The sequence below is a fragment of the Homo sapiens genome, chromosome 6 (genome assembly GCF_000001405.40).
Source record: "Homo sapiens chromosome 6, GRCh38.p14 Primary Assembly".
NCBI lineage: Eukaryota > Metazoa > Chordata > Mammalia > Primates > Hominidae > Homo > Homo sapiens.
In genome coordinates, this window is record NC_000006.12 from 36,356,789 (window position 1) to 36,372,043 (window position 15,255).

At 50.8% G+C, this 15,255-nt stretch overlaps 1 protein-coding gene across 9 annotated transcripts in view, besides 2 other annotated features; it reads right to left on the reverse strand.

Moving 5' to 3' along the window:
• Positions 1–15,255, reverse strand: part of ETV7 (ETS variant transcription factor 7) — a 33,582-nt gene that overhangs the window by 2,701 nt on the left and 15,626 nt on the right. For 6 of the 9 annotated variants that reach the window (NM_001207041.2, NM_001207040.2, NM_001207036.2 and 3 more), the window contains 4 exons: positions 14,542–14,772; positions 12,141–12,283; positions 10,087–10,187; positions 9,406–9,974 (listed from right to left, as the gene is read on the reverse strand). In NM_001207041.2, the coding sequence (NP_001193970.1) occupies positions 9,857–9,974; positions 10,087–10,187; positions 12,141–12,283; positions 14,542–14,752 (573 nt within the window). In that variant the 5' untranslated portion in view covers positions 14,753–14,772 and the 3' untranslated portion in view covers positions 9,406–9,856. Of the gene's footprint in view, positions 1–9,405; positions 9,975–10,086; positions 10,188–12,140; positions 12,284–14,541; positions 14,773–15,255 lie in introns of those variants that run through there. The other 3 variants (NM_001207039.2, NM_001207035.2, NM_001207038.2) reach the window with 2 other exon arrangements.
• Positions 4,296–4,455: an enhancer, noted in NCBI's record as "active region_24424". NCBI's record gives its function as "activates an Ori minimal core promoter by ATAC-STARR-seq in GM12878 lymphoblastoid cells {active_cell/tissue: GM12878}" and the evidence as "EXISTENCE:reporter gene assay evidence [ECO:0000049][PMID:35858748]".
• Positions 8,577–8,626: an enhancer, noted in NCBI's record as "active region_24425". NCBI's record gives its function as "activates an Ori minimal core promoter by ATAC-STARR-seq in GM12878 lymphoblastoid cells {active_cell/tissue: GM12878}" and the evidence as "EXISTENCE:reporter gene assay evidence [ECO:0000049][PMID:35858748]".

The following is a 15,255-nucleotide window of genomic DNA, read 5'->3' on the forward strand; positions in this document are numbered from 1 at the left end:
AATGCTGGGCTGACACCTGCATTACTTCACAGCCAGTCTCTCCTAAGGATTAAGGCATTGTCCTGTGAAGATGTGTGTATCAAGTGGAGATACACTATGGAGGGAAATTTGCGGGACCCCATCACCACCCGTGAAAACATCATCACAGGTTAATTCATCAAAGTTCTATGCCATAACGCAAAGAAGCAGCTGTAAAGGATTGGAAGCCAGCATGGAGTTTTGATGGGAAGTTGGGAGAAGATATATGGCAGACAGTGCATTACAAATTATCTCTTTTTTTTGGATCCACAAGGAGAAACCTATGTTTTAATCTACATGTAGGGAGCCAGGTATCTCAGGAAAATCAAGATACCATTTGCCACTGAGAGGGCTGCTGAATGTCAGTTGAACAGATTTCAACTGAAAGCCTAAAAGGTCCAGGGGAAGGAGCAGTGACACAGCTTGGAAAGGATATGGCTGCACAGAGAGGGCAGCGCACAGAAGCTGCAGCCTTAAGTAGGAGAACACAGCCAACCTGTGGGAGCCAGCAGGGAGGGACTAGAGAAATAAAATACCTTGGCAATCTCCGACCAGAGAGTTTCTTGACTAAAACCAACCAGGAGCCAGAGGACAGGAAGCCCACTGGGGCAATCCATACAGGACAGTCTCCTGGCCACAGAGCAGGATGAAGAGGGGTGGAGAATGGTGTAAATAAGAGGAAAAGTCACTCAAAAGGAGCAAGGAATATAGGTGGAATATCACAAGCCTGAGTTCTGACAACAAATATGGGCAGAAATGATGGGCGCCTCCCATAAGAACACCTCCCCGGCCACGTGCGCTGGCTCATGCCTGTAATCCCAGCACTTTGGGAGGTCAAGGCAGGCAGATCACCTGAGGTCAGAAGTTCGAGACCAGCCTGGCCAACATGGAAAAACCCTATCTCTACTAAAAATATAAAAAATTAGCCAAGTTTGGTGGCACACACCTGTAATCCCAGCTACTCGGGAGGCTGAGGCATGAGAATCACTTGAACCTGGTAGGTGGAGGTTGCAGTGAGCCAAAATTGTACCACTGCACTCCAGCCCAGGTGACAGAGTGAGATTCTGTCTCAAAAACAAAAACAAAAACAAACAAAAAAACACCTCCCCAATCCTTCACGCTTTCTCCTCCCTACCTGCGGGCTGGGTGTCAATCCCCCATACAGAAACCACATGAAGGAGACAGTACAACCTCCATCAGCCTGGGTCCCCAGATGACTTCATGGGGAAGATCCCTCCCCACCCATGAACCAAGCTTTATGTGGCCAAGAAAATGAATGTCTATCACATCAAGCCACTGAGATTTCAGTTGAGATGCTATGGCCAGCATGACTCTAACTGATACAGTAGCTGCAGATGACGTAGGGCTGGCCTCCTTAGAAGGGAAGCTGGACTTTGATCTGGACATGTCTTCCTCACTTAAAAGCTGGGTGAATTAATTTGCATTGTCAGAAAGGCACTTCATCTTGCTCAAAATAAAGATGTGGTTGAGCTGCCAAGCTTTTGTTTCTGTCATTTCACTGGGGGCCTTCTGCTGCTGGCTCTAGTTCAGGTCTCCTGCTTTGTCAAAGGCCCTTTTTTCTTTTGGTGGCCAATCAAGACCCAGCTTGGTAAATTACTCACTGGTCAGTCAGGAAAAAATAATGTTCTTATTGCAAATCACTTTAGAGTTTGCAGAGGGCTAGAGTTGGCATATTCTGTTCCTAAGGTTGGAAGGGTCCCTGGCTGAAAGCCCAGAATCCCAGAATCTCAAGGTCCCCCTGATGTTCAGTTTCCCCATCCCCCAAACCCTAACACTGGGTCAGCTCACTGACCCTTGTGGGGGTGGTGGAGAAGAAAGTGCCTTTGTTGGTGCTTTAGAAGCTCTCTAGAGATTTGCACGCCACGTTCAGCCACCCACAATCAGCTGTCCCCTGAGAATCTGATATGTACTCCCCACCCCACACCACAGGTCGAGAACCTGAGCTTGTCACTGGCTGGAGCATATGATCATGTGACTGAGGGGAAAGCTCTTCCTGCTCAGAATTGCTGGAATTTTAAGAGCCATATTTAGAACTCTGGGGCTTTCCAGCCAGAGCACTTTCAACAATACACCGTGCTTCCTTGAGTTAGGATGTTTAGATGGGCCAGATCTAGAGAACTGAGGTCTATTCAGGAGACTTTGTGATCTCGGTCTTAGCTGATGGCTCCCCCAAAGGAAGAGGATGGGAGAGGGGCAGCTCTAGGCCAAGATGGTCTTCTCCACCCAGCCTGTCTACATTATTCATATCCATTAAGATTGCATTGGGTTGCACATAACAAACTAACAACAGTGTCCATCTTTCATGGTGTGACCTGCAGATTAAACAGAAAGGGGATGGACAGGCTGGGCGAAGTGGCTCACACCTATAATCCCAGCACTTTGGGAGGCCAAGGTGGGCAAATCACCTGAGGTCGAGAGTTCAAGACCAGCCTGACCAACATGGAGAAACCCTGTCTCTACTAAAAATACAAAAATTAGCCAGGTGTGGTGGTGCACGCCTGTGATCCCAGCTACTCAGGAGGCTGAGGCAGGAGGACCACTTGAACCTAGGAGGCGGAGGTTGCGGTGAGCCAAGATTGCACCATTGCTCTCCAGCCTGGGTAACAAGAGCGAAACTCAGTCTCAAAAAAAAAAAGAAAAAAGAAAAAAAGAAAAAAGAAAGAAAGGGGACAGTCTACTACAGGAGAGAAAGTGACATAGGTAAAGATGATTTGTTCCTGCTTACACATGTTTTTTACATCTCTGACAGCTCAATTTAAATTTGGCCCCTCTCACTTGATTCTATTTTATTTTCCTTCATAGTACATATCACCACCTGCCATTTTATTCTGTATTGATTTGTTTATTTATCTGTTCTGGTCACCACAATATTCCTGTTTCTAGACAGTGCTTAACCTACAGTAGGTGCTCAATGAATGTTAAATAAATGAATGCATTATTTCATTTGAAATTTCTCAACTCCATGTGCTAAGCAGGGCAAAGGATGTTGTCTTTCATTTTACAAAAGTAGAAAGTGAGTCCTAGAAGGGTGGTGTAACTAAAGCCAGTAGAAAACTAAGGAAGCCTCAGTCCTTTTTTTTTTTCTTTTGAGACCGAGTCTCACTCTGATGCCAGGCTGGAGTGAGTGGCGCGATCTCGGCTCACTGCCTCCACCTCCCGGGTTCAAGTGATTCTCCTGCCTCAGCCTCCCAAGTAGCTGGGACTACAGGCATGTGCCACCATGCCCAGCTAATTTTTTTATTTTTAGTAGAGACGGAGTTTCACCATGTTGGCCAGGATGGTCTCGATTTCTTGACCTCGTAATCCGCCCGCCTCGGCCTCCCAAAGTGCTGGGATTACAGGCATGAGCCACTGCACCCGGCCAGTCTTTTTGATTCCTAATCAGGTCTACATGGGTAGGGTGAGGGTAGAGAGGCTCTGACATGCCCCTAGCAGATGTCCCAGATCTGTAAGAGGCCTCATCTAGGCCCCTGCTGACAAACTACTCAAGGATAAAGTGATCATAAGAAGAGGAGATAAGAAGTTATTCCCAATAAAGAGAATGGGAAAATAGGAATTGCAGAAACCAGTGGCCTGTGGGTTAGGAGAGGAGGCTGATGCTATCAACGGACAGCTGGCTTATGGTGCCCCTCAATTCCACCCCCACCCCTGCTACTTACTTTGCCCCCTGGAGGTGTGAGTTCCCCGTCACTGGAGGTGTTCAAGCAGGGCCTGGATGTCTACTTACAGAGCATGCCTGAGCTGGAGAGTACACATCTCCCCGTGAGAGAAGGCAGGCTTGCTGTCCATAGAACATTCAGTCAGCCACCGCCCGGCCCCACACTAACACAAAAAGAGGCTTTTGCACCACCTAGTGGACATGGTTTTAAACTGCAGGCCTTTCCGTGGAGAGAAGCCCACAGCCCAGAATCCCATTTCCCGTGCAGTCTCCCTGACCCCCTCAAGGATCAGAAGGCCCACAGCCCCACTGTGCTTCCAGACCTCAGCCCTGCAAAAGGGAAGTTGGAAAAAGAGAGCAGAAGCCTGTGATTCTCCGGAGGGAAACTCTCCCTGGTGCCTCTCAAGCCGAATTCACTAGCACCACTTTGTCCAGTACTGTCCCCAATAGGCACACTTCTCACGTCATCTCTCCCTGGGGACTGCAATGGTTTGCTCATCAGCTACATCTGTTTCCCCTACTTCTGTGCAAACTTTCCAAGCCAGGGCCCTATTCCCCTTTGTTTACTCACCATCACTCCCCATCCCCAGTATATGAGCAATTAACTCAAAAGGATTCGGGACTTTAAAAAAATCAAGATCACGATTAAAATATTTCTGAGTTGCATATACTGGTTTCAGAACAACCTGCTTTAAACTCCTCACTCAAGTTCTGGGGCTGTCCCATTGGTGGCTTAGTTCCCACCGAGGTCCTTTGAGGGCCGAGGTGTCACTGAGGGAGCTCGCCAGCAGCGCAGGGCCCTGACACCGGCATTCAACAGGCTCCCTCTGAGCTCACACTGCCCTCGCATTTACCACCAGATACGGACATTTCTGCGGTACAGGCCTTTGCTCTGTAAAGGTCTGTGTTTTCTGTGTGTCTCTACAAACCTTTTGTGAGAACATTTGAGTAGAAAATGTGGATCACTAACACCGTGGGACCAGAGGAGGAAGCCAAGGAAGACTGTGGCCCTAGGATCCTCTGTGACAAAGAGGATGGGTCCCCAGCATCAGCCCAGGCTTCCTGCAGTTAAGAGCCCAAGACCCAGCAGAGCCACCAGGATTAAATCAAATGCTAGATCTGGAACTTTCCTATGAAGGAAAAAGCCTTTCTAAGAAAGAATCCACCTAACAGAGAAGAGGAAGACCAGAGCTCATGCTCATGGGTTAATGCTGTAAATGGTTCAACTGGACCAAGACAGTGACTTGTATTATTTGTTTCATTAATGAACTTTTTATTATACTCATTTTTCATAAATTCTTTATCTATTGTCAGTTCTTTAATTGTAATGTAATCATGCCTGGCCACTTTTTCAAACCATGAGAATGTATCTCCTGCTTTTTAAAATTCTTTGTTGGCTGGGTGCGGTGGCTCACACCTGTAACCCCAACACTTTGGGAGGCCAAGGCAGGTGGATCACCTGAGGTCGAGACCAGCCTGACCAACACAGTGAAACCCTGTCTCTACTAAAAATACAAAAGTTAGCTGGTGTGGCCGGGCGCGGTGGCTCACACCTGTAATCCCAGCACTTTGGGAGACTGAGGCAGGCGGATCACGAGGTCAGGAGATCGAGACCATCCTGGCTAACATGGTGAAACCTTGTCTCTACTAAAAATACAAAAAATTAGCCAGGCGCGGTGGCGGGCACCTGTAGTCCCAGCTACTTGGGGAGGGGGCTGAGGCAGGAGAATGGCGTGAACCCGGGAGGCAGAGCTTGCAGCGAGCCGAGATCGCGCCACTGCAGTCCGGCCTGTGTGAAAGAGCGAGACTCTGTCTCAAAAAAAAAAAAATTAGCTGGTGTGGTGGCGGGTGCCTGTAGTCCCAGCTACTCGGGAGGCTGAGGCAGGAGAATCACTTGAACCCAGGAAGCAGAGGTTGCAGTGAGCTGAGATCACAACACTGCACTCCAGCCTGAGTGACAGCAAAACACCTCAAAAAAAAAATTTGTGAGAAGTTCACTTTGACACATGAAATTTTCAATGACCTGCCACTTTTCAGGACTTTAATTGTATGAAAAATGGATATAAACTCAATGCCTCACCTGGTGCCCGGTACAGAGCAGGTACTCAATTGATGTTTGTAGAAGGCAGGCCTAAATGAACCCCCTTACTCCAGGCACCCAGGGGTCCATCCCCAGACCACGGCCTGATCTCCCTGGGGAGATGGAGAAAAGGTGGCATGGCCTCAGGGCTGAGTGCAGAGTTCCGGAGTCGGGATCTCTGGCAGTGATTCATGCCTGCTCTCCTAGTAGCCCAACCCGGCCATGATGGTCTCAGTGCTGGGTGAGATTCATTGCCTGAGTTAAGGCCTCATCGCTGGGAAATGTAGCTGTTGACATCCATCAACCCACCAGCAGGCAAACACCACTTATAACTGGAAGAAGTGATCTAGGAATCCATCCTCCTGCTTCATCTTGGACCCAACCACAATGCTGAGAAGAGGAAATGAGGTGGCTTCAGGAGCGAAGAAGCTGGGCTGGGCCATGTGATCTTGCGCAAGTCACTTCGCTCTGGCGGCAGTTCCCTTCTCTGTAAAATGAGGGCCTGGATAAATTCATTTCGACAGTCCCTCCTAAGCCAGGTATGCAGCTCTGGGGTGAGGAGGTGATAATGTGTCCAGAACTGGTGGGTTCTTGGTCTCACTGACTTCAAGAATGAAGCCGCGGACCCTCGCGGTGAGTCTTACAGCTCTTCAGGTGGCGCATCTGGAGTTTGTTCTTTCTGATGTTCCGACGTGTTCAGAGTTTCTTCCTTCTGGTGGGTTCGTGGTCTCGCTGGCTCAGGAGTGAAGCTGCAGACCTTCGCGGTGAGTGTTACAGCCCTTAAGGCACCGCGTCTGGAGTCGTTCGTTCCTCCCCGTGGGCTCATGGGCTCGCTGGCTCCAGGAGTGAAGCTGCAGACCTTCACGGTGAGTGTTACAGCTCTTAAAGCAGCACATCTGGAGTCATTCATTCCTCCCGGTGGGGTCGTGGGCTCGCTGGCTTCAGGAGTGAAGCTGCAGATCTTCGCACTAAGCGTTACAGCTAATAAAAGCAGCGTGGACCCAAAGAGCAAAAGAACAAAGCTCCCACGGTGTCAAAGGGGACCAGAACGGGTTGCCACTGCTAGCTGGGGCAGCCTGCTTTTATTCTCTTATCTGGCCCCACCCACATCCTGCTGATTGGTAGAGCCCAGTGGTCTGTTTTGACAGGGTGCTGATTGGTGCGTTTACAATCCCTGAGCTAGACACAAAGGTTCTCCACCTCCCCACCAGATTAGCTAGATACAGTGTGGACACAAAGGTTCTCCAAGGCCCCACCAGAGTAGCTAGATACAGAGTGTCGATTGGTGCATTCACAAACCCTGAGCTAGACACAGGGTGCTGATTGGTGTATTTACAAACCTTGAGGTAGATACAGAGTGCCGATTGGTGTATTTACAATCCCTGAGCTAGACATAAAGGTTCTCCAAGGCCCCACCAGAGCAGCTAGATACAGAGTGTGGATTGGTGCATTCACAAACCCTGAGCTAGACACAGGGTGCTGATTGGTGTATTTACAAACCTTGAGCTAGATACAGAGTGCCGATTGGTGTATTTACAATCCCTGAACTAGACATAAAGGTTTTCCACCTCCCCACCAGACTCAGGAGCCCAGCTGGCTTCACCCAGTGGATCCTGCACTGGGGCTGCAGGTGGAGCTGCCTGCCAGTCCGGCGCCGTGAGCCCGCACTCCTCAGCCCTTGGGTGGTGGATGGGACTGGGCGCTGTGGAGCAGGGGGTGGCGCTCGTCGGGGAGGCTCAGGCCGCACAGGAGCCCATGGAGCGGGTGGGAGGCTCAGGCATGGCAGGCTGCAGGTCCCCAGCCCTGCCCCGCAGGAAGGCAGCTAAGGCCCGGTGAGAAATCGAGCGCAGCGCCGGTGGGCTGGCACTGCTGGGGGACCCAGTACACCCTCCGCAGCCGCTGGCCCGGGTGCTAAGTCCCTCATTGCCCGGGGCTGGCAGGGCCGGCCGGCTGCTCCGAGTGCGGGACCCGCCAAGCCCACGCTCACCCGAAAGTTCAGCTGGCCCGCAAGCGCCGCGCACAGCCCCAGTTCCCGCTCGTGCCTCTCCCTCCACACCTCCCTTCAAGCTGAGGGAGCCGGCTCTGGCCTTGGCCAGCCCAGAAAGGGGCTCCCACAGTGCAGCGGTGGGATGAAGGGCTCCTCAAGTGCCGCCAAAGTGGGAGCCCAGGCAGAGGAGGTGCCGAGAGCGAGCGAGGGCTGTGAGGACTGCCAGCACGCTGTCATCTCTCAATAAGAGAGGCCATGGGGCATGGGCTCATCGCAGAGCAAAGTCAAGGAGCTGGAACAGTCTCAGAGGGAAAGTGAAAGGGGCAAAGCATTTTCCCATCGATCCTTTTTCCAAAGCCACCTGCCTGCCCCCCTGCCGGTGAGTACCATCGAGGGTCCCAGATAGGACTAAGCCTGGAGTTTCCCTGCTCATGGGCTATCACAGCTTTGAGCCCCAAAGTCCAAGAGTCCTTATCAAGGACTTCTCTGCAGTGACTCAAGGCCAGTGCAGGCGCCAGCAGAGACGGGGATTTCCTGACCGGCTGGGGGCAAGAGGCTGAGGTAGTTTCCTCCTTCTGAGAAAGAAGATATGAATCCGAGGAGTTCTATTCTTGGTTAAATGAAAATACTCCCTTCTCCTTCTACCTGAGCTTTACCTGACGGCTTGCAAGGGCAGAGGCTCTGGCCCTCAGGAGGCCCCAATCAGTACTTGGGGCTAGGGCACAGAGGGAGAAGCTGACCCATTGGACCGAGGTGTTTTCATGCTTCAGAGCAGCTTCTGGTCTGCAAAGTCTTCTCAGCTAACACAGGTGAAGCACGCCCCACAGAGCAGGCAAACATTAAGCATTTCACAAGTATTGCCTTATGGAAGCTTTCCGACAACCCCAGAGGTCAGGTCAGGAGAAGGAGCCCCATTTTGCAGACGAGAAACCTGAGGCCCCAGAGAGGCGGAACACCTTGCCCAAAGTCCCACAGCAGATACAGGGACAGGAGCATAGGAAGCCACAAGTGTGGGGACGGGGGCCAGTCTTCACTGGGTCGTAGTCACTGAAAACTGAGGATGAGGGGGCTGGGCCAAGTGAAATGGACTATTCAGTGAAGATGCCAAGAGCAGAGAGGTGGGGCCGGGGCCTGGCTAAGAAGCATCCACATACAGTCAGAGGTGCTGAAAGAAAACAGGTCGAAGCCCTGGGTTGTGGAGAGGCGGGCCAGCTCCACAAGCCTCTCCCTCAGTGTCCTCATCTTCACGCCTGAATGCCGAGTGAATTAAATGAGATAAGATATCCACAAGGCCCTTAGCACAAGGCCTGGCACATAGCAAACACTTAAGAAACATCGGCTGGACGCAGTGGCTCACGCCTGTAATCCAAGCACTTTGGGAAACTGAGGCAAGAGGATCACCTGAGGTCGCAAGTTCGATACCAGCCTGGCCAACATGGTGAAACCCTGTGTCTCTACCAAAAATACAAAAATTAGCCGGGTGTGGTGGTGGGCAGCTGTAATCCCAGCTACTCCGGAGGCTGAGGCACGAGAATCTCTTGAACCCAGGAGGCGGAAGTTGCAGTGAGCCGAGATCGTGCCACTGCACTCCACCCTGGGTGACAGCGCAAGACTGTCTCAAAAAAATAAAAGAAAGAAACATCAGCTACCATTGTTTTTATTGTTACTGAGGCTGTCAGTGCCGCCTGGAAGCACTAACACTTTTTCCCATTTCCTGCCTCAGCCCATTTCACAGGTGAGGAAATCTGAGGCTCAGTGAGGGACTTCATTCCCTTCATCTGGTAAATTCCATTTACAGGGGTGGGGCTGGGTGCTCTATCGGTGCCTGGCTTCCTCTCCCAGGGGTGCAGTAGGGGAGAGTCCATTCCCCTGTACCTCATTTAGCCCCAGGATTGCCCTGCCCAAAAGATGACACTCCTGCCCCCAGTGTCCTGGATGGGAGGCCTCCCAGCCTTCCCAAGCAATGGCTGTAATCCTGTGGGTACAGAGTCTGGCTGGGGATCCTGCTGCTCTGCTGGGAGGAGGAGTCTGCCTTCATGGGAGACTCGGTCCCTGCCCCATCGGTACCGGGTGCCTGGAGTCCACCTGCCCCTCACGGAGAGATTTCTGGCCTCTTGTCCTTGAACTCTATTCTGTCCTGCTCCTGGCTCTCCAGCGGCTCCAGGTGGCTGTGCTTGTCCTGGACCATCTTTCCCGGAGTCTTTAGAAATCTAGAATTCAGGCCCCAACTGCAAATCAGCTCCTGCCCCAGCTGCAGGGGGATTCCAGCCCACCCAACCCCAGTTCTGCTTCCCCTTTCACCACATCCCCTAGGCCACTCACCTGAACAGGAGTTTCTGCCCCGGTTCCTTCTTAATGATATTAAGCTTATAATAGTGGCGCAGGGCACGAGACATCTTCTCGTAGGTCATGTTCACCCGGTTCTGGAAAGCAAAGCAGCCCCACATCAGCCCCACTCCCCATGTCCTGCTCCTTCCACACCTGGAAGGGAGTAGGGTGGACTGGACAGCTTCTTAAGCCTCTCATTCCAGGGATCTGTGAGGGTTTATGAGTGCTCACTTGAGTTTGGAAGGAAAAAGGCAGGGGAAGGTTGGGGAAGAAATGATGGGGCTGGGCAGGGTGGCTCACACCTGTAATCCCAACACTTTGGGAGGCCTAGGTGGGCAGATCGCTTGAGGTCAGGAGTTTGAGACCAGCCTGGCCAACATGGTGAAACCCTGTCTCTACTAAAAATACAAAAATTAGCCAGGCGTGATGGTGCGTGCCTGTAGTCCCAACTACTCAGGAGGCTGAGGCAGGAGAATCCCTTGAACCCAGGAGGCAGAGGTTGCAGTGAGCCGAGGTCATGTCACTAGACTACAGCCTGGGCAAAAGATTGAGACTCCATTACAAAAAGAAAGAAAGGAAGGAAGGAAGGAAGGCGAAAGGAAGGAAGGAAGGAAGGAAATGATGGAAAGGTTCTCCTGCCTACTTGGCTGAGAACATAGTGTGGGAGTGAACTGCATGTTACTTTTAAACAGCAAATGTCACAACAGTAACAAATAAATATATATATTTGTGGGAAATGCAATCAGAGAGACAGTATGGTGGGGTGGCATGGATGGCCTTGCCAGGCCACACCCTGGGTGACTTTGGCCAAGTCATTTCTTTCTCTCTCGGGGGTAGGCAGTGTGAGGTAGGGCCAAAGAGCCTGGGGTGTGGCATCAATTTAAGCCCCAGCTCCACCGCTTGTCAGCTGTGTCACCTTGGACAAGTTTCTTGACCTCTCTGAGTCTGCTTCCCCAGCTACATAATGAAAAGGAGAACACCCATCGCATAAGTCAAGGATTAAATTATTAATAGCTAATCCATGAAAGCAGTTAGCACAGTGTATGGCATGTAGTATATGCTCATTAAATGGGACTGCTGCTCTCTGGGCCTGTTTTCCTCCCTGTTCTATATGAGGATTAGACCAATAAGTCCTCCCGAACTTTAGTCATCTGCATCCTTCCAGCCACCAGCACTGCTAAGAGCAGTATAATATAGTGCAGCACATGGCCTGGGTTCAACTCCCTGTTCTGCCTCTTACATAGCAGGGGATGGGTAAACTTGGGGCAAGTTGTTAGCCCTCACTGAGCCTCAGTCTCCACATCCGACAACACCTACTTCACGAGCTTGGTATGAGGATTAAATGAATTAGTACAAGTGGAGCCCTCAGGGCAGTGCCTGGCAATCAGGCACATTACATCTTAGGAAAGGCTATAAATCGATGATTATCATTATCGTTAATAGTTTTCTTTAAAAGATTTTTTTTACTTAAAGAAACCTATTTATTTTAAAAGGCTACATTCCTTATATCACTGCTGTAAATCATGAGATGGTCATGGTAGTTACATTTTGTAATCCTAATTCAAAAATAATTATGAGGATATTAAACCACCTAAGATCATCTTACAGACACCCATTTAGGTATAGGCATTCCTCATCATGGGAATGCTGGCCTCAGTCATCCCCAGGCCTTTCCAGCCCTGACATCAGATGCTCCTGTTGGGCCTGAGACCTGGGTTTCTGTCCAGCTCCCCGCAGGAAAGCAGCTTCCTCATCTGGCCTAACTGTGCAGTTCATGTAAACATGCTTCTAAAGCCTGAAATACTAAGCAAAGGTAAGATTAAGCAATGAGAAGACACAATTGTTCAGTTTCAGAGACATTCCCCATCCATAAGAGGTAACTGCCTGTCCCTCAATAGCTCCCCAAATAAAATTATCCTGTCACTTTTGGGGCTGCTGATGAAGGCCCCATCAGCTGAGGATTGTCCCATAGTGCTAGGGGTCCACTCTGACCCCCAACTCTGTCCCCTTCTGGTTATGTTGAGACCATTCTGCTGGCCGAGGCTCACCTTGTGATTTCCCCAGAGTCTGGCGAGCCCATTTGGATCCACAACTCGGAAGATCTTGGCGTCCTTGTCTTCCCACTTGATGTAGGGCTCATATCGGGTATCAAGGAGCAGCTGATACACGTAATCCCACAGCAGGCGGCAGTCTGCAATTTAGCACAGGGAGTGCAGGCAGCGCAGCTTTACTGGAGCTGTGAGGACAGGTGTTAGAAAGGCACTCTTGGAAGCCTCCCGGCCAGAGCCCTAGGAGCACCAGCAGGAAGGTGAAAATGATGATATCAACAGAAACAGCCACTAATGGGGCTCCTCACGCATTGTCTCAGGCAGTCTTCCTGAGTCTGGGAAGTCGTTACCTTTATCCCCAGGAAGAGGTGAGGAAATGGGCTCAGAGGTGCAGAGGTATCTAAAGTTGCCAAGCTCCTAAGTGGCAGGTAGAGCAGGGAGTCTGACCGGCTCCACCCAGCATCAGAGCCATGTGAGGGCAGGTGCTGGGCCCACAGGCTGAGGGGCTGGGCCCCTGACCCCAGGTCCCTCTCTGCCCCTGGCCCACTCACTCAGCCCCCTGGACTTCTATTAATTATAACATCCACCCCTTCAAGCTCCCTAATGGTGAGGCTCAGGAAAACCAGGCATGCCATTGGGAGGGCAAGTGGGCATCCGGGAGCAACTGTGTGATCTGAAATCCCAGGACCTGGGCCTGTCGGCTGGGCCATTGCAGGCAAGTTACACAACCTTCTCTGAGCCAGCTTCCTTGTATGGGGTGGTGAGAGAATTAGGTAACATAATAGACCACAAAACCCTCAGCACAGTGCCTGGTATACTGTAAGTGCACGAAGAATGTTAAGCATTATAATTGAAGAATTCAGTAATTGCAAGAGGCTGAAGTGGGAGGATTCCTTGAGCCCAGGAATTTGAGGCAGCAGTGAGCTATGGTGGCATCACTGCACTCCAGCCTGGCAACAGAGTGAGACCCTGTCTCTTAAAAAAAAAAAAACCCAGTAATTGTGGATCATTGTGTTTGTTATTGATACATAATATTTATGCATGTTTCTGGCGTCCATGTGAGATCTTGTTGCATGCATAGAGTGTGTAACGATCAAGTCAGGGTACTTAGGGCATCCATCACCTCAAGTATTCATCATTTCTATGTGTTGGGCCAATTGTTTTTTAGTGACTTCTAGTCATTTCCAACCCAAAAGCCAGGCTTCTGCCCACTCTGTGGCTTCATAGAATAAATGTGGTGTGGACATAACAATGGGAACAATAGACACTGGGCACTGGGGACCACTACAGGGGAAGAGCCAGGGTGGAAAAAACTACCTATCACAGGCCGGCACGGTGGTTCACGCCTGTAATCCCAGCACCAAAGGAGGCCGAGGTGGGTGGATCACCTGAGGTCAGGAGTTCAAGACCAGCCTGTGGCCAACATGGTGAAACCGTCTCTACTAATAAAACAAAAATTAGCCAGGTGTGGTGGTGGGCGCCTGTAATCCCAGCTACCCAGGAGGCTGAGGCAGGAGAATCGCTTGAACCCGGGAGGCAGAGGATGCAGTGAGTTGAGATCATGCCACAGCTCTCCAGCCTGGGCAAAAGAGCCAGACTCCCGTCTCAAAAAAAGAAAAGAAAAGAAAAGAAAAACTTCCTATCAAGTACTATGCTGAGTACCTTGGTGACAGGATTATTCATACACCAAACCTCAGTGGCACGCAATTTACCCATGTAACAAACCTGCACATGCACCCCCTGAACCTAAAATAAAAGTTGAAAAAAAAAAAGAATAAATGCAGTGTCACTATTATGACTAGAAAAACACCCTTCAGCTTATCTGTCAGTCTGTCTGGTTGTCTGCCTGTTAATCCTTTAACAATGAATGCAGAGTGGAAGTGTATCATTTGGTTAGCGCTCAGGATCTGGAGCCAGACTGCCTGGGTTCACATCACACCTCAACCAGTGCTGTGTGATCTTGGAGAAGTTACTTAACCTTTCTGTGCCTCAATTTCCATATCTGTGAAATGGGGCTAATAATAGTACCAAACTCAAAAGGCCATTGTAGAATTAAATAAGGGCTTGGGAACCACGCCTGGCACATAGTGAATGCTCAATTATTTTAAAACAGATAAAGTTTTAAAAGGCAGGTGTGGCACTCCATGCTAATGTGAGTGTCAGAATATGACTGGGTAAATTGTCCCTGTGTGGGAGACAGGGTGAGGCTTGGTGATCCCAGGTATCACTGCCCTCTGTGACCAGATTGTGGCTAGCACACAGGACAGTCAACGCTACCCTGCAATCCCCCAGCCACAGACCTCCCATCACCAGGTCAAAATAGCCCTGTCCTCATCACTCGTGACTCTGAGACTCAGACTCAGTGCACCTTCCATGGCCAGAGGAACAGCCTCCCACTCACCAGCGATCCTGCCGTCAATGGGGGCCTGCGGCATCGCGGGGAAGGAACAGACCCCCTGGGTCCTGCAGCCGAGCTCTGCACAGTGACATAAGTTGAGGGACTCCTCCTTGCCAGGGGTCCACCTTGCCAGGCCAGGGTCATCCAGGTGGCCGAAGTTGCTGGTAAGCCCTGGGTCTGGTGGCTGCAGCAGGTGGCCCCTTCGGGTGTCCATCTGAGAGGGGCCAGTCACCTCTGCAAGCAGATGAGCACCAGTGGTAGCAGGCAGTGGGCCCCAAGCCTCCCCAACTCAATCCCTCAATGGTGAGCCTGGGAGCCCTGTGGGGCAGCACTCCTGATGCTCTTTCTCCAACCAGCCCCTGGTTAGAAGGTCAGGGAGGCAGTGGGGGGCAGTGGGTGAGGGCCAGACAGCCTAAGTGCTAACCCCAGCTCCCACACAAGTAACAACCTGTCAAGCCTGTTCCCTCATCTATGAAAATGGCTGCAAAGCCAAGCAGTGACAGAGCCAGGTCTAGAACCCAGGGGCCCTGTATCCCATGTCCTCTCCATTTGCCCAACGAGTATTTATTGAGAGCCTTCTATGAACCAGGCATTGTTCTAAGAATCTTGAGCATATATCGCTGAGCTCCCAAAGCCCCTGCCCTCAGGGAGCTTATATGCTAGTTGAGAGCAGGGGAGATGGACGATTAAAATAAAAAGGAAACAGAAACAGTATAC